Source organism: Homo sapiens, chromosome 9 (genome assembly GCF_000001405.40).
Source record: "Homo sapiens chromosome 9, GRCh38.p14 Primary Assembly".
NCBI classification, from domain to species: domain Eukaryota; kingdom Metazoa; phylum Chordata; class Mammalia; order Primates; family Hominidae; genus Homo; species Homo sapiens.
The window spans coordinates 127480269-127500141 of record NC_000009.12 but is presented as its reverse complement, the minus strand read 5'-3'; the positions used below and the strand labels follow the sequence as shown (position 1 = coordinate 127500141).

General features: G+C 52.8%; 1 protein-coding gene across 11 annotated transcripts in view, besides 3 other annotated features; it reads right to left on the bottom strand.

Moving 5' to 3' along the window:
• The window catches only part of LRSAM1 (leucine rich repeat and sterile alpha motif containing 1), a 52016-nt gene that overhangs the window by 3360 nt on the left and 28783 nt on the right, over positions 1-19873 (bottom strand). For 6 of the 11 annotated variants that reach the window (NM_138361.5, NM_001384142.1, NM_001005373.4 and 3 more), the window contains 10 exons: positions 18915-18959; positions 17122-17192; positions 14307-14406; positions 12379-12466; positions 10624-10698; positions 8847-8927; positions 7245-7340; positions 4724-4822; positions 4047-4178; positions 2808-2889 (listed from right to left, as the gene is read on the bottom strand). In NM_138361.5, coding sequence (NP_612370.3) covers positions 2808-2889; positions 4047-4178; positions 4724-4822; positions 7245-7340; positions 8847-8927; positions 10624-10698; positions 12379-12466; positions 14307-14406; positions 17122-17192; positions 18915-18959 — 869 coding nt within the window. Of the gene's footprint in view, positions 1-2807; positions 2890-4046; positions 4179-4723; positions 4823-7244; positions 7341-8846; positions 8928-10623; positions 10699-12378; positions 12648-14301; positions 14407-17121; positions 17193-18914; positions 18960-19873 lie in introns of all 11 variants that reach the window. The other 5 variants (XM_047424058.1, NM_001384143.1, NR_168892.1 and 2 more) reach the window with 4 other exon arrangements.
• Positions 5419-5938: an enhancer, noted in NCBI's record as "H3K4me1 hESC enhancer chr9:130256483-130257002 (GRCh37/hg19 assembly coordinates)". NCBI's record gives its function as "activates a minimal SCP1, AML or CMV promoter by ChIP-STARR-seq in naive H9 embryonic stem cells {active_cell/tissue: H9 hESC(naive)}" and the evidence as "EXISTENCE:reporter gene assay evidence [ECO:0000049][PMID:30033119]".
• Positions 9870-10450: an enhancer, noted in NCBI's record as "H3K4me1 hESC enhancer chr9:130251971-130252551 (GRCh37/hg19 assembly coordinates)". NCBI's record gives its function as "activates a minimal SCP1, AML or CMV promoter by ChIP-STARR-seq in naive H9 embryonic stem cells {active_cell/tissue: H9 hESC(naive)}" and the evidence as "EXISTENCE:reporter gene assay evidence [ECO:0000049][PMID:30033119]".
• Positions 10451-11031: an enhancer, noted in NCBI's record as "H3K4me1 hESC enhancer chr9:130251390-130251970 (GRCh37/hg19 assembly coordinates)". NCBI's record gives its function as "activates a minimal SCP1, AML or CMV promoter by ChIP-STARR-seq in naive H9 embryonic stem cells {active_cell/tissue: H9 hESC(naive)}" and the evidence as "EXISTENCE:reporter gene assay evidence [ECO:0000049][PMID:30033119]".

Sequence of the window (19873 nt, the reverse complement as noted above, 5' to 3'; positions counted from 1 at the left end):
TGATCTGCCCACCTCAGCCTCCCAGAGCGCTGGGATTACAGGCGTGAGCCAACGTGCCCGGCTGCTAAGTCTCTTTTTCTATCATGCAACGTGAGCCACCCACTTCCTTGACTCTATCCCTCGTTCCCTTCCTGATCACGGTTCACTTTATTCTACGGCTTGAATTACAAGCATTATTTTTTATAACAGGAAAAACTAAAGTTTTTCTTTTTTTTTTTGAGATGGAGTCTCACTCTTGCCAGGCTGGAGTGCAGTGTGGTGCGATCTCGGCTCACTGCAACCTCCGCCTCCTGGATTCAAGTGATTCTCCTGCCTCAGCCTCTCCTCTTGCGTATCTGGGACTATAGGCACACGCCACTGTGCCCAGCTAATTTTAGTAGAGACAGGGTTTCACCATGTTAGCCAGGATGGTCTCCATCTCCTGACCTCGTGATCTGCCCGCCTCGGCTTCCCAAAGTGCTGGGATTACAGGCGTGAGGCACCGCACCCGGCCACAACTAAAGATTTTTTAAAGGCTGTTACAACACTAGACCCTCTAAGGCTATCAGTGCTTCCCCCCAAACCACCATTTCGAGGGGGCATTCATATATATATATATATATATTTTTTTTTAGACAGGGTCTTGCTCTGTCACCCAGGCTGGAGTATAGTATCATGATCACAGCTCACTGCAGCCTCAACCTCCCAGGCTCAAGCAATCCTCCTACCTCAGCCTCCAGAGTAGCTGGGATGACGCCTTGCTAATTTTTTTTAATTTTTTTGTTTTGTTTTTGAGACAGTCCCACTCTTTTCCAGGCTGGAGTGCAGGGGCACAATCATGGCTCACTGCAGCCTCGACCTCCCAAGCTCAAGCGATCCTCCCACCTTTGCCCCCCGAGTAGCTGGAACTAAGGTGTGCACCACCACACCCAGCTAATTTTATTTTATTTTTTGTAGAGAAGGGGTCTCCCTATGTCGCCCAGGCTGGTCTCAAACTCCTGGGCTTGAGTGATCCTCCCACGTAGGCCTCCCAAAGTGTGGGATTACAGCCATGAGCCACTGCACCCAGCTTCTATATTTGTTTTTTTCTTTTTCTTTTTTTTTTTTGAGACAGAGTTTCACTTGTCACCCAGGCTGGAATGCAATGGCATGATCTTGGCTCACTGTAACTTCCGCCTCCTGGGTTCAAGCAATTCTGCTGCCTCAGCCTCCTGAGTCTGGGACTACAGGTGCACGCCACCACGCCTGGCTAATTTTTGTATTTTTAGTAGAGACAGGGTTTCACCATGTTGGCCAGGCTGGTCTCGAACTCCTGACCTCAGGTGATCCGCCCACCTCAGCCTCCCAAAGTGCTGGGATTACAGGTGTGAGCCACCACACCTGGCCCCAGCCTCTATATTTGATATAAAGTATACCGATTTCTGGGAGTAATAAGAGAATTGCTAGGAAATTGAGGGTTTCCCTTGCCTTCTGGAACTGAGGACGGATCCCACCATGGCCCCTTCCCCTGCCAATGGGCACAAGCAGGAAGCCCTGAGCAGCCCAGGCATCCGTTTTCTGCATGTGGCCACAGATCCTCATGGCCAATCTGCTATGGAGAGGAAGAACCTGCTTGTTTGCTCCAGGGATGACTCAAACAGTGAGAAGCAGCCGGTCCTGAGGACTGCTGGGCTCAGAGGCACTGCACCCCACTCAGGGTGAAGGGCACCTGTTTGTTTGTGGCTCCTGCTCACGTGAGGCTTGTCTGCCGGGGGTGACCCCAACTCCTGATGGAAAACTCTTCTGATCTCCAGTCTGAGAGCTGGGGGGTCAGGAACATCCAGAAGGGGCCTATTCTGCACATGACTTGATATCAAAAAGCTAAGAAGTTTAATGACTTTTTGGGGGTTGAGTCAGTGTCCCTGGAGTAAAAGTAGCTGCAAAACTGGTGCCTGAAGCTATCCTGGGGCTGCAGTCAGCCCAGCCCCCTGGAGCCCCGGGGCCTCCCCACTGAGGTCCAGTCCAGAACTCCACCTTCGCCTCAGCTCCTCCGCTTCTTCCTTGGCTCTGGCTAAAAATGCCCTGTCCAGAGCCTCGCCCAGCCCAGCAGCACAAGACTGCCCTCTCCTTCACCCCTGCTCTGGCCCCTCACCTCTTCCCCAGGGAGGCAGGCAAGCCCAGTGGCTCCACCATCTGCCAGCAATGGGACCTGATGGGGGACATGCTAACCTCTTTGCGCTTCAGTTTCCCCATCTTGAAAATGAGGACCACAACAGTGCCTCCTCACGGGATGGATCCGGAGGTTCCTCAACGTGGTTCATGCACAGCGGTGGGCAGGTGCCGGGCTCCCAGATCATGCTCAGCACATGGCAGACCCCAGACTCCACACCTGCCCCTTCTCCCCACGGGCCTCACGACCTGCCTTTGCCCCTTCACAGCCTGTTGTGGACATCTCTCCATGTCCACAGGCATGCCTCAGGCCCAGCATTGGGTATACTGCAGGCCCTGGGGACGGGCTATTTCTCCCTCTAGTCCAAAGTCCCTCAGTGTGTGGATCCCAGCGTCTGTAGGGTGGACTGAGGGAAGGCTATGGGACAGGGAGCTGGGAGGGCCCCTCCACTGCTACGTGGAGGTCTCCTGTTCTCCCAATTTGGTGGCCCATTTTTCCCATCTGTAAAATGGGCTCACTGATCCCTAAGCCTGCTCCTTGGGAGGAAACCTTACCGACCAGCAGAGGCTAGAACCAGCCCTCAGGAGTCATCCTGAAATGTAAGCAAATGACTGTCCCCACCAGAGCCCACACATACGGCTGGAGCCCTGCCTGGAAGAGGCTGGAGCTGTGCTTGTACCTGGCTGGATCCTGGCTGCATCCAGCAGTTCCTGGACTCTCCGGAGGATCTCGTGCTGCAGGCCAGCTTCTGAGACGCCCACCTGTGACAGTTCAAGGAAGTGCAGACTGTGGCCTGGGCGGGAGCCCGCTAAATGGTGTGAGCCACGTGGCACAGGCCCAGGCTCACAGGACCGTCGACACCTCCTGCTGGAAATGTGGAAGCCTTCCGGGGCCTGGCGGGGCCCACGGTCAGGATGAGGCAGTGCGGCACCATAGCTGTGAGGGCAACCTCCCCAGGCCTCAGCCCAACAATCAGTGTGGCAGGGGTTGGGGGGAAACTGAGGCCCAAAGGGAAACCAGCACTAGCAACAGCTATGGTTTAGCAACTGCTTCCCGGTGCCAGGCTTCACCTGCACACCTCAGCCACTTCCCCACCAGGTGGGGGAGGAGAGAAGCCTTGGAGGCCAAGCCACTAAGCAGCAGCAGCACACGAGCCCCACAGTCCCTCAGCCTCCAGAGCCTGAGCGGCATGGCCTTGTGACCCTCAGTGCCATCCAGTCCTCTTGGACCCTGGTGTCTGCATCTGTCCAGGGAGGGGCAGGAGAGTCTCATGAAAAAGAACACGAACTCTGGGGCCACACTGCTTGGGGTGGAGACCTCACTCTGCTGTGTGACCTTGGGCCAAGTTATTGCCTTACTGGGTCTCAACTGAAAGATGATGATAATGATATGTACCCTGCTGGGCTGTCGGGAGAATTCAGTGAGTTCGAATACAAAAAGTGCTTAAAATGGTGCCCCGCACGTGCAGGTGCTACAAAGTTAGCTGGCACAGCGATGAGTATTCTGTTTTGAAGAATAAGTGGATTAATGTGCTGTAAAGAGCTCAGCTTGTGCCCAGAAAGGAACAGGGGCTCAGGCAGTGCTGTGGCCACGACAGTTTGTGACACCATGAGGCAGGGCAGAGGCTGGATCAGATAAGCCCCAAGGGCCTGTCTTGTCCCTCCAGTCTGAAGATCCAGTCTGATCAGGTCAGCAGGACCCACCTCCCCAGGATTTCCCAGTGAGACAGTGTGCAGGGCACACACAGGCGGCTGGGGCAGATGGGCAGGTGTTCTGGCCATCTGGAAGCAAGGTGGCCCTGGGCCATTAGGTAAGGACAGGCCTCAACGAGGACTACACAAGGAGCAGATCAACCCCCGGCTGGTCAGGACAGCGGCCTTGCGTGCCCCTCCCCTCCATGCAGACGGCTGCTGCCCACCTTGGCCAGGTCCCCTGGGCTCATTTGGCTCAGCAGGTCCAGTGAGAGGCGGTGGTGCGCAAAGATGGGCAGGTAGTGCTCAGCCGACAGCTCCTCCAGGAGGGCCACCAGCTGGCGCTCCATCCCCTCTTCCTGCAAGACAGAAACGTGTACCATGAGCAGGAAGGAAGAAAAGAACCCACTGTTTACAACAGGAAATGAAGGGTTTGAATATTTATAACATAATACATAGAATGTACTCGGGATTTTTCCTACAAAAACTCATAGGTAGGCACACAGAGATAGATAGATAGATAGGCCCAGGGGTTCACTGCCGCTCTGTCTGCAAACCTGAAAATAGTAAGCAACTTGAACATCCACCAAGAGGGGGCTGTTTCAACTGCCTCTCTGTCCCCGCAGGTGCTGGACAGACAGTGGCTCCCGGCACAGGCTTTGCTCTACTGTGGGCTCAGTGGTCTCTGCCCTGCACAGCAGTGACCAGTGCCTTGTCGTCCCCCTCACCAGAATGAACACTCCCTTACTCTCGCTTCTGTCTCCACTGGGGCTTGGCACAGGATCTGGCATGCTAGAGTCACCAGAAAAGTAACAAGAGGCAGAGCATGGTGGAGGCACCACAGGCGCCTCTGGGAGGAGGTCCCCAGGGCTCCCTGGCCGGGACAGGCACCAGCAGTCCTTACTTGCAGCTTCAAGGACAAGGGCTTCTGGTTCAAAAGCCGTTGATACTGAATCAGCCAGTAATTTTCCTGCCTGGTTTCACTTTTGGCTTCTAACTCCGTCTGCCAGGAATGAAGCAGGCAATGTTAGTCACAAAATGGTAATAAAACCTGTAATAACAATGATGGTTGCCAGGCGCGGTGGCTCATGCCTGTAATCCCAGCACTTTGGGGGGCCAAGGTGGGCAGATCACCTGAGGTCGGGAGTTCAAGACCAGCCTGACCAACATGGAGAAACCCCCCACCTCTACTAAAAATACAAAACTAGCCAGGCATGGCGGCACATGCCTGTAATCCCAGCTACTCGAGAGGCTGAGGCAGGAGAATCTCTTGAGCCCGGGAGGCAGAGGTTGCAGTGAGCTGAGATCGCGCCACTGCACTCCAGCCTGGGCAACAAGAGCGAAACTCCGTCTCAAAAAAACAAAACAAAACAAAACCAAAATGATGGTTATGAACCATGCTCCTCTGAGCGGGTGGACAGCACTTGGTACTTTTATTTTATTTTTGAGATGGACTCTTGCTCTGTCACCCAGGCTGGAGTGCCCGAGTAGCTGGGACTACAGGTGTGTGCCACCATGCCCGGCTAATTTTTATATTTTTAGTACAGATGGGGTTTTCACCACGTTGGCCAGGCTGGTCTCAAACTCCTGACCTCAAGTGATCTGCCCACCTCGGCCTCCCAAAGTGCTGGGATTACAGGCGTGAGCCACTGCACCCAGCCTGAATGTGATTCTTTTATTCTGCCATTCGATAACTCTTCGTTGAGTACTGTTCTAGGTGCTGGGAATACAGCAGTGAACAAACAATGCTGATAACAGCCACGGTGACAACAGGCGTAGCTGACATGTTCACAGTGCCATGTGCCAGACCATGCTGTGCACCTAACGATGCCATCATTAATTCTCACAACTCCGGGAAGGAGATTCTACCTCCCAGGTGAGGGAGCTGAGGTTCAGGGTGATGAGTAACCTGCCCAGGGTGGGGCCAGGAATTGGACCCAGGCCTGTCTTGCTCCAGAGCCCGTGCTCAGAACAACGGAGCTGTTCAGTGAGGGCTGGCATGACATGGGGAGTGGGATCAACACAGGCGTTTCTCAATCCCTGCTGGGCCTGACTGCCCTTTGCGGGCCCCTCCTGGACCTGGCCACGCCCACTGCTCCCTTCCGTCGTTGGCCCTCCCGGGCTGCAGCCCCTCTCTTCCAGCGCCCAGGAGCCGGATGGGCTGTGTTCTGCTGGGGCGGTGCTTCCTCCTTTGGTGGTGACCCCCAAGGCCTACAAGGGCAGGGGCACCAGCCATAGTACCTGGCTGCTAAGGCACAGCGCCAAGGCACCATCTGCAAAGTAACCTGATGCGTAGGAGATGGCAGTAGGGCACCGTGAGGAACAGGCAGCTTCCTCTGATGGGCACAGGCACCACTTGGCTTGTTCAGGGCTCCAGAAGCAGCTGGTCTCTCTCTTCTAAACCTGCACAGGACCCGGCCTAGGACGCAGCTCAGAGGGCATCTGGTGCATTCACGGGGACACAGGAACGACTCGGTCTTTTCCACCCCAGATGGTGAGCCTGGCCTCTGTCCTCATTGCTTGGGTGCCCTCTGGGTCTAGAGGAGACACTCTCAAGGGGGCCTCTGCCACGCTGAAAATGTGCCAGTGTCAAACCCATCAGGGGACAGGGACAGCTGGGCCACTCCTGCCAAAAGCTTATCAAACGGCCTGCCCTGGACATAGTGAGTCCTGTCTGGAGTGAATACTCATGGCTGTTCCCGAATACTCGACTACAAAGGCATTCGGAGAGCATTGCCTAGAAAAGTTTAAAAACCAGAAGTAATCCACATACTCAACAATAGGGGCCACGGACAGCCTTGAGAAAGGACGTCAAGGAATAGTTTAATGACTTGAAAAGAATGTGCGGAAACAGGCTGCTCGAAAAGGGTATGCAGCATGCCACGTTTAAAAGGCGCATACACGAACAGCTATAAAGGTGCATCACAATGTTTGGAAAATATGCATCAAAACCGCAGGAGAGGCTAGGCGCGGTGGCTCATGCCTGTAAAACCAGCACTTTCGGAGGCCAAGGCAGACAGATCGTTTGAGCCCGGGAGTTGGAGACCAGCCTGGGCAACATAGCGAAACCCCATCTCTACAAAAAATAAAAAAATTTGCCAGGCATGGTGGCACATGCCTGTAGTCCCAGCTACTCGGGAAGCTGAGGTGGGAGGATCGCTTGAGCCCAGGAAGTCAAGGCTGCAGTGAGCTGAGATTGCGCCACTGCACTCCAGCCTGGGCGACAGAGTGAGACCCTGTCTCAAACAAACAAATAAAAAATGGCAGGAGATAACGCTTGGAAATGCAATTATTTTCCTTTGTACTTTCCAGTTTTTCTTTGATGAATAACTCTTACTTGAATAACAGGTGTTTCTAAAAATGGCAAGTCTGTTAAAGAAAAGCAAATGCCTGTGTGATGCTGAGCACAGAAGCCAAACACATACCAGGATTTCCCGGAGCTCTTCCTCTCGCTGCTGCTTCTCTTTGAGCAGCTGCTGGAGCAGGGAGCTGAGGGCCCAGCGCTGCTCCGAGATCATCTCCTGCGAACAAGACCACACCCCGCACCACCGTGAGCTGGCGGCAGCGCAGGAGTCCCGCAGTGGCAGGATGGAGAAGGGCCTGGCCTCCCGCTCACTCGGTTCTCTGCCCAATGCCTCCAGGCTGCGTTGGGGGACAAAGCTAAGAGGCCCTTCTGCCCCCTTACCCTAAGCCCGCATCTCTCTTCCTTGTGGGGTTAAGTCAGGCATGGGATCCTGGTGACTGATGACAATGGGATGGTAAGAAACATCAAACAAAAGAAATGACAAGCCACAGGTGCCTGCCTTTGGTCTCCCAGACAACAGAGCACATGGGCAGAAGCAAATGGCGGGGAGCAGTGTGGGGCCCCACACAAATGGAGGTGCGTGCAAACCAGAGCCTGGGGTCCCTGCTTCACTCCTGCGCCTGCTCTTGGAAACCCCATGGGGGCCCCAACAGCCAGAGCCCTGCCACACTTGTGGGCAGGGACTAGGGCACCCGCCAGGCATGATGACCGCAGCTTCTCTGAGAGCAGTCCCAGTCCCCTCATCTCTGGAGATCATTTCAAGGCTCACAAAGGGCTTTCCCTTGCTAGCTCAGCCTTCTCCGATGGCCTGATGGCACAGGCTGGGCCTGGAGGACCGCTGCCATCTTATGGAGTAGGGGAAGAAGGCCTGGAGGGGCAGAGGCCTGTCTAAGGGCACACAGCACACCTGCGGTGCACCTGAGACCAGGGATCCAGATCCCAGACCCTTCACTGCACTGAGGAGTCCATGGGATGGCTTGAGACTTCTCCACTGAGAACAGACACAGGGACAGTGACAGACCGAAGGCTCTGCTCAAACTCCTGGCACAGGCACATGTCCTCACACACCATCCCATCCAGCCCTCCGTCTGCAGCTGGAGAGGCTGAGGTTCAGAGAGGGGAAAGGGCTGCCTCTCCTCCCCCACCTGCCAAAGTTGCACAGCAGGGCTGTGCTGGGCCACACCCGGCTCCCAGGCATCCAGTCCAGGACGCCAGCTGCCAGTCCCTGCTGCCCTCTCATCTGTGTGCGCAGGACTCCCGGGCTGGAGCCCCAGAGATGCTGCCTGCAGGGAGTTACACAGATGCGGCTGGGCCCTCTCCTCCAGACAACCCGGGACACCCAAAAGCTCCAGCCCTGGAGGATGTGTGCCTGGGGGCCTAAAGCACGGCCTACAGAGAGAGACAGGAGCTCAGCGGCGGGCCCGCACCCAGCACAGGAGACACAGTGATGGAGATGAGCAGGGGAGCCTTGGCAATGAAACCCTCCTTCCTCTGACCCTCCTGCCTCGCAACAGGCTGACCACCTCTAACCTTGGCCTGCGCTGGGCCTTCTGGGGCTGGGGGGTGTCCTCTGGTGTCACAGCCACAGAGGAGCTCTGCCCTCTGTCTGCTGGGGAAGCCCTTGACTCCCAGGGGCTGGTGAGCAGCTGCCAGAGGCTGGGAGGGAGCACCAGGTGGGGGTCTCACCACGTGAAGGAGGGCAGGGGCAGGGAGCCCTACATACCTGGAGTGACTCTGTGTCCAGGGACTTCCTCTTTAACTCCAGCTGTGTCAGCTGCAATAACTCAGTTTCTATTAACTTAATCTAAACAGAAGACGAGACAGGGTTTTTTTTTACTCACATTAACCACAGTTCAGTTTTGTGCTGCTACTCTCTGGTGACCAAGTGGGTCTAAGAAGCCTTTCTGGGGAGGCTGGGGAGGCTCTGGAATGAGGGGAACCTGCGGGCCTGGGAACCTCGTCAAGGGGCTTGAACAAGAATTCGTTCCTTCATGGCCTCGCGTTCCTGGGGCATGGACGTGCTTGTTGTGGCCAAAATTGTTTACCAAGAGGCCAGCACAGGATCTCTCCTAGAGTGGGATCAGGATAAAGGCTTGTGCAATGGAGAGGGGGCTTTCCTTGGGGATTCAGGCCAGAGTAAAGCACAGACAGAGCTATCACCCAGTCTCCTGCTGGTCAAGTTCTCTTGTCCCTCGCATCGCTGTTGCAGGGGAGAGCAGAGGGTAGTGGAAGTGACTGAGTAACAGTGGTAGTAGTAGCTGGTATGTCTTGAGCACCTACTATGTGCTAGGCCTGTGCTGCACACTTGATGTATCATATTTCATCAATTCTCTGGCTGCTAGGAGGTATTATTGCCTCCATTTTATAGACAAGAAAACTGAGGCTCAGAGAGGTTCTCACTTGCTCAAGGACACAGAGCAGGTAAGGGAGAGATCCCTTTCTCTGGGATGCCTCAGCTCAGGGTTTAAGGGCAATAGCTGACCTGGTCAAAACCATCTGCAGTGAGAATGTGGGGGGCCCTCACAGGCTCTCCAGGGTGTGTCTAGGGGATTTTAGCCCTGGGCAGGGGTGGGGGTCAGACCCCATAGCCAGTACTTCTCTATCCTGTGCCCATGACCCTGTGACCCTCATCCCTAAGTCCCTATGACACCACCAACCCCTGGTCAGAGGAATGAGCTTCATGTCCGGCAATGTGGAATTGAAATTAAAGAGGGAAATTAAAAAGGTAAATTGGTCCAAAAAAAGAAAGAAAGAAAGAAAGAAAGAAAGAAAAATAGAGAAAGAAAAAAACCATGCAAAAATGCAAAATTCAGTGTGCTGAACATGATGCAGGAGTACTCCCATAGCCTGACGCTCACTTCAGCCCCAGCCCCAGCCCCACTCCACAGGCGGTGACCACCAAGCCGTGTAGGTGGGCTTGCCCAAGGCTTGAAGGTCAGCAGCCGGCCTGCGGGGGGTGGGGGGTATCTTGTCACATGAGGGAGGGTCTAAGAGGAGGACCGCCTCCTCCTGGGCCGAGGTCACTTTTCAGCAGGCGTCAGGACCACCGTGGCTCACAGCTCCCCCTGCCCTCTTCTGGGGGAAATACTATATGCCCCTGAGACGCCTCTGTCTGTCTGAGCTGTAGGAGCGCTGGGGCCTGCGCCGGCTGCTTTTCCCAGTGGGGAAGTCCTGCCTGGAGCAGGGACAGCAGAGGCAGCTGGAGCAGTCAAAGCCACACATCAGCACCAGCCTCCCTGGCCCAGGCGTGGTGGAGACCCGCCTCGCTGGCAAGACCCTCGCCAGACCCCGGAATAGGAGGTCTCTAGACACCCTCCCAGCAGCCCCGACACAAGGCTGGGAGCAAAGGGAGGTTCTGAGGGCAAGGCCTCGACCTCTTGTTGGGCTAGCAAGCCAAGGAGCTGGGGTTCAAACCTCAACTGCTGCGACCTGCCGCCCTGGAGGGCCACTCTGCAAGTCTCTGAGAGAGCAGGTCCAGGGACCCCAGCCCCAGCGCTCACCTGGCTCCTGATCTGCCGATGCATCAGGTCTTTCTTCACCTGGAGTGCCTCGAACGCAGCCTTCTGCATCGCGCTCTGCAACACAGACCACCAGCCCTCAGCAGGGGCCGTGCCCACACTTTTCCCTGCAGCCCCATCCCTGTGAAAAGCAAAAGCTGTGTACAAAGCACCTTAATGGATGGGTTTTTTCTGAGAGAGGGAGAAGATTTCACCTCACTTGTGTAAACCTTAAGATGGTACTAGGGGCTCACTTCGGGCAGCCTCTACCTGATGCACTTCCGGCATCGCACCCTGAGTTTCCACCACAGTGGACCGTGGGGGTGCTTTTACTGCCCCACTTCACAGATGGGGAGTGACACTCAGAGGCATGAATCAGCGGCGCTGGGACACACACCAAGCCTATCCAGCTCCCGAGCCCCACTTAACCACAAGGCAGATGCCTCCTCTGAGAAATGGAGAATTTTCCTCAGACAAGCTCCACAGATACTAAGTCAAACCATTTTAGAACAGAGATTGAAATTAGGGAGAAAGGAGCAGGGTGGGATGACAAACACGCAGAGGACAGGGGAGAAAGGCGAGGGAAGAAGGGAGGCAGCGGCAAGACTCCCACGGGGCTGCAGGAAAGAGCTGAACAGGCCGGTGGCTCATGTCTGTAATCCCAGCACTCTGGGAGGCCGAGGCAGGAGGATTGCTTGAGCCCAGGAGTTTGAGACCAGCCTGGGCAACATAGGGAAACTCTGTCTCTACAAAAAATAAAAAAAAATTAGCTGGGCATGGTGGCCCTGTGGTCTCCGCTACTCAGGAGGCAAAGGTGGGAGGATCGTTTGAGCCCAGGAGTTTGAGGCTGCAGTGAACTGTGATCACATCACTTCACTCATCCTGGGCAACAGAGCAAGACCTTGTCTTAAAAAAAAAAAAAGAAAAGAAAAGAAAAAAAGGAAAATAAAAAGCTAAACAGGCTGGGCACGGTGTCTGATGCCTGTAAATCCAGCACTTTGGGAGGCCGAGGTGGGTGGATCAGCTGAGGTCAGGAGTTCGAGACCAGCCTGGCCAACGTGGCAAAACCCCATCTCTACTAAAAATACAAAAATTAGTTGGGCGTGTTGGTGGGTGCCCGTAATCCTAGCTACTTGGGAGGCTGAGGCAGGAGAATCAGTTGAACCTGGGAGACAGAGGTTGCAGTGAGCCGAGATCGCACCACTGCACTCCAAACTGGGCAACAAGAGGGAAACTCCATCTCAAAAAAAGAAAACAAAAACGCTAAACAGAGTAATATGGACACCGAAGGGGAGGAGGTCACAGGGGCCCTTCGTTTCATCCACTCAAGAGCCCTGCCAGGCACCTCCTGAGCACCGCAGAGATGGAAGAGCAGATAGCAGCACAGCAGGTCTGGACATGAGAAGAGGCCAGAGGTCCCACAGCGTCCTCTGTGCCCTGACCTCCATGGTGTGGTCACCATCACCTCCTGCCACTTAAGTCCTTCCAATGGAGCCTCCTACACAGGATGGGGGTAGGAGCCTGCCAGAGAGCAGGTGGAGGTGCTTCTGTGGATTTTAGTGACCAGAAGACCATCCCCCGGGCCCCCCCTCAGCCTCTCCCACCCCTCACCCTGATCACTTGTACACCTCTATGGTCACAAACCTCTGTGGTCCCACATGCTGTCTAGGAAGGGCTCCGTGTGGAGCTCTGCACTCTGCCCTGGCTCCTGAACCTCCCTCCTGAGCTCCCACCCTCAGGCTCTGGGCGAGGGCTCACCTCCTGCAGGATCTGGCTGATGGCTTTGTTCTGATCCATTTGCTGCCACGACAGAATCTGCTGGAATCGTTCATCCATTTCGGCCATGCTGCCAGAAAGACAGCAAATTCATTCATTCTTGGAACGTTTCCCGAGCACCTACTATGTGCCAGGCCCCTTGGAGGAGATCAAGATAACCCATTTCTTCAGTGGACCACATTCATGGAGTACCTGCTGGGAGCCGGGCCCTGGGTGGGCCACAGACACTGAGTCTGTCTGAATCCCATGGCCTGGAGGGAAGGGGATCGAGTTGGGAGCTGGGAGAGAGATGCTTCCAGGTCCTCTCACCCAACCTGCCACCAGAATCCCCTCCCCAGCACCCCCCGGAAGTGGATGCCTGCCTCTGCCCAGCCACCTCCATGGGTGGGGAGCTCCTGACTCCCATGGGTGGTGAGCCACCGAAGTATGACAAAGCTGTCCTTCCCGGCACTCTCACCCTGGGCAGGGAGCAAGGAGCAGCCCTTGACTTGGGCACAAGAACCTGCAGCCTCACGTATGTTTGTGCTTTGGCACCATCTTGGTTGTTTTTTTTTTTTTTTTTGAGACAGAGTCTTGCTCTGTCACCCGGGCTGGAGTGCAGTGGTGTGATCGTGGCTCACTGCAACCTCCACTTCCCAGGTTCAAGCAATTTTCCTGCCTCAGTCTCCCAAGTAGCTGGGATTACAGGCGCCCACTGCTACGTTTGGCTAATTGTTTGTATTTTTAGTAGAGACGGGGTTTTACCATGTTGGCCAGGCTGGTCTCAAACTCCCGACCTCAGGTGATCCACCCACCTCGGCCTCCCAAAGTGCTGGGATTACAGACGTGAGCCACTGCGCCCAGCCACCATCTTGGCTTTGTTTATTTCATAATAGCAACTGTTTTTTCCCAGTGAGGTCCCTGCTTCACAACAATAGCAAATATTTATTGGACCTTTATGCACTAGAGATTATGCTCATCAACACTCATCAAATTCTCCACCAACTCTACAGGTAGGTACTATGATTTATCTGATAAGGAATTTGAAGCCCAAAGAAGGAAAGAGACTTGCCTGAGACCTCACGGTTAGTAAGCAGAAGTGGGACCTGGATCCAGGTCTGTTTGACCCCTGCGCTTGCAACTCCTAAGCACAGTGTCACATATCAGGAAAGGGGGGAGAAATTCCCACATCTGCAGGGACCCAGGGGAGGCCCGCACAGTCCAGGCGCCCTGGAGGGTGGCAGCAGTGCCAGCCACATGCATGGGAGGAAAAACAGGGCATCCAGGGCTGCTGGCCTGTCCCTGTCTGGGGCTCCTGAGCACTGAGTTTTCCCCACTGGCTCTGCTGGGCACCTGTGGAACCTCCAACAAACCCACAGTGCCCAGTGAGCACAGGGAGCCGGACCCCAGAGCAGCCATCAGCATGAAAGCAACCCCTTCACTTATCCTTCCAGGGCATCCCACCCCCAACCGTGGGGGTCCTCAGACACTGATGAGTGTACCACAGTCAAGAGCACACCCCTCCCCTCTGCCGGGCTCAAATCCTGGCTCCGCCACCTGCTGGCTTGCTTCCTTGGGTGCGTTATACAGTTTCTCAGAACCTGAGTTGCGATTGTGAAATCGGGCTAATAACAATACAGTCCCTCCTAGAATCAATCAGCGAATGTGGTTCATCGCTTAGCCGAGTGCCTGCCACACAGGAAGTGCACAAGAAATGGGAATGACTGTTACCACTTTAACACAGCCCAACACTGAATCATGGATCCGGCTAGAAAACTCAGGAAGAGCAGCCATCACTTGCCCCTAACAGCAGAGCAGAGGCTGGGGTGGCCCAGGGCGGGAGGTTTAGTGCCCAGCTCTCATCCCACGGTCTTGGGCCCTGAGCCAGCTCCCCCAGCTCCCTCACCTGGGACTCCTCTTCCTTACCTTACCTGGAACAGGCCTGCTGGACCAAGTTCTGCCTCTGAGATTCGTAGGCCATCTGGATGAGCCGGTTCTTACAGCTCTCAGTCAGCATCTGCTGCATGGCGGCTGTGGGAACATGAGGTGGGGACAGCTGAGTGGAGTGGCTGCTCCTGGGGCACCTGGGCAGGGAGGCAGCAGGGATTTCCACAGGAACTGAGGAACAGGCCTTGAGGCCTCACCTGGTTACCTACCTGATAGTTATCTTAAAAAAAACCCTTTGTTCCTTTTTGTTTTGTTTTGTTTTTTGAGATGCAGTCTCACTCTGTCACCCAGGCTGGAGTGCAGTGGTGCGATCTCAGCTCACTGCAAGCTCTGCCTCCCAGGTTCCCGCCATTCTCCTCCTCAGCCTCCCGAGTAGCTGGGACTACAGACGCCTGCCACCACGCCCGCCTAATTTTTTGTATTATTAATAGAGACAGGGTTTCACTGTGTTAGCCAGGATGGTCTCGATCTCTTGACCTCGTGATCCACCCGCCTTGGCCTCCCAAAGTGCTGGGATTACAGGTGAGCCACTGCGCCCGGCCTGTTCTTTTTAACTATAAAAGCAACGTATGCTTGGAAGGCTAATTGTAAAACACTGAATAGCACATACATAACATCTCCTGTGATCTTGTCATCCAGAAATATTATTCCATTTTGATATATATTCTTCTAGTCAGTTTTTATGCATTTAGGAATTAAACAAATTAAAATAGGCCAGGCGTGGTGGCTTATGCCTGTAATCCCAGCACTTTGGGAAGCCAAGGCAGGTGGATCACCGGAGGTCAGGAGTTCGAGACCAGCCTGGCCAACATGGCGAAACTGTGTCTGTACTAAAAATACAAAAATTAGCCGGGCATGGTGGCAGGTGCCTGTAATCCCAGCTACTTGGGAGTCTGAGGCAGGAGAATCGCTTGAACCCGGGAGGCAGAGGTTGCGTGAGCTGAGATCATGCCACTGCACTCCAGCCTGGGCAACAGAGCAAGACCCTATCTCAAAAAAAAAAAAAAAAGAAAAAAAGAAAAATCAAAAAATTAAAATAATTGAAAGAAGGAACTAGAATAGATGTTTGTACACACACATTTGTAGCATTATTCATAAGAGTCAAAAAGTGGAAACAACCCACATTCCCACTGATAGATGAATGGATAAAGAAAATGTAGACGCTGGACATGGCGGCTCACCTGTAATATAAGCACTTACGGGAGGCCAAGGTGGGAGGACTGCTTGAGCCCAGGAGTTTGAGACCAGCCTGGGCAACAGAGTGAGACCCTACCTCAAAAAAAAAAAAAATTAGCCAGGTGAGGTGGCATGTGTCTGTAGTCCCCACTACTTGGGAGGCTGTAGTGGGAGGACTGCTTGAGCCCAGGAGGTGGAGGCTGCAGTGAGCAGGTTCACACCACTGCCCTCCAGCCTGGTGACAGAGCAAGGAAAAAAGAAAAAAAGAAAATGTGGCATATACAGGAAATGCAACGTTATTTACTATTAAAAAGGAAGAAAATTTTTCCCTGGTGGGCCAGTGTTTAGAAATAAAGAAGCAGGAAAAAAAAAAAAAAAAAGGGAAAGAAATTCAAACACATGCTATAACATGGATGAACCCGAGGACATTATGCTAAGTGAAATATGGTAGACACAAAAGGAGAAATATTGTATGATTCCACATATAGGAGGTACTTATAACACTCAAATCCACACACAGAAAGTAGAATGTTGATTCCCAGGGGCTGAGGGGAGGGGGGCACGGGGAGTTAGTGTTTACTAGGGACAGTTTCAGTTGAGGAAGATGAAAAAGTTCTGGCGATGGATGGTGGTGGCAGTTGTACAACAATAATGCCACAGAACTAATATATTTTAAAATGAAGACCAGGCACGGTGGCTCACGCCTGTAATACCAGCACTTCAGGAGGTTGAGGCAGGCGATCACTTGAGGTCAGGAGTTCAAGAGCAGCCTGGCCAACATGGCAAAACCCCATCTCTACTAAAAATACAAAAATTAGCCTGGTGTGGTGGTGTGCATCTGTGATCCTAGCTACTCGGAGGCTGAGGCAGGAGAATCGCTTAAACCTGGGAGGCGGAGGTTGCAGTGAGCCAAGATCGCACCACTGTACTCCAGCCTGAGCAACAGAGCGAGACTTTGTCTCAAAACATAAATAAAATAAAATAAAGTGATTAAGATGGTAAAGTTTACATGATGCATATTTTACAATTAAAAAAATGAAAATGGTATCATCCCACTTCCCATTTTTATGAACACTCCCCCTGATAACATGCTAATGGGATGCTAATACTGCAGAGTGCCACAGCATATGGATCACCAACATTTATTTAAACAATCCTCTATTTGGGGGCATTTGGACTTTCTTTTTTTTTTTTTCTGAGAAATGGTCTCGCTGTATTACCCAGGCTGGAGTGCAGTAGTGTGATCACAGCTCACTGCAGCCTTGAACTCCTGGGCTCATGTGATCCTCCAGCCTCGGCTTCCTAAAGCGCTGGGATTACAGGCATGAGCCCCGACACCTGGCCCATTTCCTCCATTTTATAGCTAAGAAAACCGAGCCTTGGAAAAGTTGGGGAGCAGTAAGCAGTAATGTCCCTAAGGTCACATGGTGGGTGTTTGAACTGGGACTCTGCATCCACATCTAGGCTGACCCCAGAGCCTGTGCTCCATGGCAGGACTTGACTGCCCCTCTCGAGGGCTAACACTCAGGGCCCTCCATGCATGGCCAACAGAGGGAGGGCCATCCACCCTGCCAGCCCAGCCAGCAGGCAGCGTGCTCACAAGCTCCCCATCCCAAAACTCACAGGCAACGTCACGTCGCCGCAGGCTCTCAGTCTCCTCCTGGGTTATGGACATCAACTGTTCCATTCTTATTCTAGAAAAAAATCCATCCATTCATTCAGCAAATTTAACATTTCCAACAGGGAATCCCAGCAGATGAACACCACCTCCTCCAGGAAGGCCTCCTTGATTTGGCAACCTACACCTAGATGGGCTCTCTGGATGCCTACCGCATCACAAGCAACCCTTGGGGCCCTCTGTTCGCCTTCAGCCTGTAGTTCGAGTATCTTGTGTAAAAAGATGGACGCTCCCTTAGAAAATGGGCAAAAGAAGCAAATAGCCAATGCTGAAATTCAAGTGATCAATAAACATCTGGAAAGATGCTTAACATTACTGGTAACTAAAGAAAGTAAAATCTTTTCACCTACTAGGTTGGTTGACAGTAAGAAAACTGGTAACTGTTTGTGATGGTGATGGTGGTGGAGAAATGGGCACTTTCCTACACTGCTGAGAGGAGTGTAAACTGGCAGAATGTTTTTGGGAAGGTAAGTTGGCACCTAGCAAAATGTCCTTTAAATATTTCCTTCACAAATAGTCACATGGCCGGGTGCGGTGGCTCACACCTGTAATCCCAGCACTTTGGGAGCCTGAGGCAGGCGGATGACTTGAGGTCAGGAGTTTGAGACCAGCCTGGCCAACATGGTGAAACTCCATCTCTACTAAAAATACAAAAATCAGCCGGACCTGGTGGTATGCGCCTATAATCCCAGCTACTCGGGATGCTGAGGCAGGAGAATCGCCTGAACCTGGGAGGTGGAGGTTGCAGTGAGCCGAGATCGTGCCACTGCACTCCAGCCTGGGTGACAGAGTGAGACTCCGTCTCAAAAAAAAAAAAAAAAAAAAGATATACTAAAAATTCTGCTATAAATATAGCCTGTCACTTTTTCCATTAGCAATATGTTATGTTTTCCCTTAATGAGAAATATTATTCAATAAGACATTTAATGGCTGCAGGTTATTCCTCCATACATAATTTATGTAACTAAATAATTTTTCTTTCCAGAAATTTAGATTTTTTTTCTGAATTTCTTTTTTTTTTTAGCTGGAACCATAGGCGCCTGCCACCACTCCTGGCTAAGTTTTGATTTTTAGTAGAGACAGCGTTTTGCCATGTTGGCCAGGATGGTCTCAAACTCCTGACCTCAAGTGATCTGCCCACCTCGGCCTCCCAAAGTGCTGGGATTACAGATGTGAGCCACTGCGCCTGGCCTGAACTTTTTATACTAGGAATATAGTTGGACATTATATATCTAGCCTTATTCATGTCTCTGAATGTTTTTCAGGAGTGTACGTATGTTTTAATGAACTTGAAGACAATGATTCTTTGTAATTAAATATCGTCTAAGGAGGTGAATCTCCTTATAGCTTTAGGGAAATGTCCTGGCATAATCCTCTGGAGAATCACAAGACATTCTCCCCTCAAAGCTGCTCTCCTTGGCCGGGAGCAGTGGCTCACGCCTGCAATCCCAGTACTTTGTGAGGCCGAGGCGGGCAGATCATGAGGTCAGGAGATCGAAACCATCCTGGTTAACACGGTGAAACCCCGTCTCTACTAAAATACAAAAAATTAGCTGGTGGTGGTATGCGCCTATAGTCCCAGCTACTCGGGAGGCTGAGGCAGGGGAATTGCTTGGACCTGGGCGGCGGGGGTTGCACTGAGCCGAGATTGTGCCACTGCACTCCAGCCTGGCGACAGTGCAGGACTCCGTCTCAAAAAAAAAAAAAAAATGCTGCCCTCCCCTGGAAGAACACTTACCTTTCATTTTCCAGCGATTTCAAAATCTCGGAGCTTTTCTTTTGTCTGTGGAGAAAATCATAAAAGGTCCTGGCAGTCACCAGCAGGCCTGTTTCCTGTCTCACTGCGTTAGCTGTGCAGAGGGGCTTAGGAAATGGGCTGGGGGCACCTTGGCTCCACCACCTTGAAGCTCTGGGTTCTTAGCCAGTTACTGAAACCACTCAAGTCCCAGGTTTCCTCACCTATGAAATTAGAAGAATAAAAAAACCCAGCCAGACACAGTGGCTCACATCTGTAATCCCAGCACTTTGGGAGGCTGAAGTGGATAGATCACTTGAGGTCAGGAGTTCGAGACCAGCCTGGTCAACATGGAGAAACCTTATCTCTACAAAAATTAGCCAGGCGTGGTGGCCCAAGCCTGTAGTCCCAGCTCCTTGGGAGGCTGAGGCAAGAGAATTGCTTGAACCTGGGAGAAGGAGGTTGCAGTGAGCCGAGAGCACACCACTGCACTCCAGCCTCAGTGACACAGCGAGACTCTGTCTCAAACAAAACAAAATGAAAACAACCCAGCTTCTTGGTGCATTTGTAAAGACTTAATGAAGAAATAGATGTAACAAGCTTGGCACATAAGAAGCATCCAACAAATGACTGGTTTCCTGAACTCATGCAGGTACTTTTGAAACTGACAGGTGAGGGAGGAACGAGTGATTCAGGGTTAGAAAAAAGAGGCCTGGAAGTGGCAGGGCATATGGCTGGAGCCTGTTTCTGGAATCATCCTGCAATGGGCCCCCTCACTAGACTTCTCAGGCTTTTCTGGCGCCATGTCTCCCCAGCCCCATCAAGATCTGCTCTTACTAGCTCGTACCTTGCACAGGGTTTGTTAAGGCAAATCTCACTACAGGTGAACAGCTGACCTCAGTGCAACGGGTTACGCAGAACCCAAAATACTGGAGCAGGATGTGATCCCAACTATCTTGTCA